The sequence below is a fragment of the Homo sapiens genome, chromosome 8, assembly GCF_000001405.40.
Source record: "Homo sapiens chromosome 8, GRCh38.p14 Primary Assembly".
Classification (NCBI taxonomy): Eukaryota; Metazoa; Chordata; class Mammalia; order Primates; family Hominidae; genus Homo; species Homo sapiens.
In genome coordinates this window covers 124,405,775-124,407,028 of record NC_000008.11, presented here as the reverse complement: position 1 = coordinate 124,407,028, position 1,254 = coordinate 124,405,775, and the positions used below count along the sequence as shown (strand labels likewise).

Sequence of the window (1,254 nt, the reverse complement as noted above, 5' to 3'; positions counted from 1 at the left end):
GAGGCATGAGCCACTGTGCCTGGCATTTTTAATTCTATTCTGACCCTTAACTGATTACATAATGCCTACCTACATTGGTGAGGGTGGGCCCTCTTTGCTCGCTGATTCAAATGCTTCTTACAGGCATTCTAAGAAATACTGTTTCATCAGCTATCTGGGCATCCCTTAGTCAAGCTGACAAATAAAATTAACCATCACAGAAACATAGACCTCATTAATCGTCTGATAAAGCAGTTTTTGTGGAGTGGTTAGGGTGGAAGTCCAGCTGAGAGGGTTAAAGAGTAAAGGGGAAAAGAGGAAGTAAAAATGCTAACCGGGAATATCTTCAAGTTTTTCCCTGGAGTGGAAAAAATAGGGCTGTAGCTTTATGTGCATGTGTGTTCAAGGGAAGATCTGTTTTTGTTTTGAAGATGGTTTTATGCTTGTGGAAGTGTTCAGTAGAGAGAACTGGAAGATGGCAAAGACTGACAGTTAATTCTAGAAGTGATCTTCCGAAGCAGACAAGATTGAATGAACAAGCCTCTGATAAGAACAGAAACCATGGCTGGGCACGGTAGCTCACACCTGTAATCCCAGCACTTTGGGAGGCTGAGGTGGGTGGGTCAACTGAGGTCGGGAGTTCGAGACCAGCCTAACCAACATGGAAAAACCCCGTCTCTACTAAAAATACAAAATTAGTCAGGCATGATGGCGCATGCCTGTAATCCCAGCTACTCGGGAGGCTGAGGCAGGAGAATCACTTGAACCCAGGAGGCGGAGGTTGCGGTGAGCCGAGATCGCACCATTGCACTCCAGCCCGGGCAACAAGAGCAAAACTCTGTCTCAAAACAAAAACAAAAACAAAAATGAAAACAAAAACAAAAACAGAAAACATTTACATATTGTAAAGGCTGAGAAGGCCCAGAGAGGTAGAGAAAGTTGTGATAAAAGGCCAGGGCCAGGCAGTGGCTCACACCTGTAATCCCAGCGATTTGGGAGGCTGAGGTGGTGGATCACCTGAGGTCAGGAGTTCAAGACCAGCCTGGCCAACATGGTGAAACCCCACTTCTAGTAGAAATACAAAAATTAGCTTGGCGTGGTGGCATGCACCTGTAATCCCAGCTACTCAGGAGGCTGAGGCAGGAGAATAGCTTGAATCCTGGAGGCGAGGGTTGCAGTGAGCCAAGATCACACCATTGCACTCCAGCCTGAGCAACAGAGTGAGACTCCATCTCAAAAAAAAAAAAAAAAAAAAAAAAAAAGTTGTGATAATAA

At 45.2% G+C, this 1,254-nt stretch overlaps 1 annotated feature.

Moving 5' to 3' along the window:
* Positions 394-594: a silencer, noted in NCBI's record as "peak7162 fragment used in MPRA reporter construct". NCBI's record gives its function as "represses an SCP1 promoter by STARR-seq MPRAs in K562 erythroleukemia cells {active_cell/tissue: K562}" and the evidence as "EXISTENCE:reporter gene assay evidence [ECO:0000049][PMID:32103011]".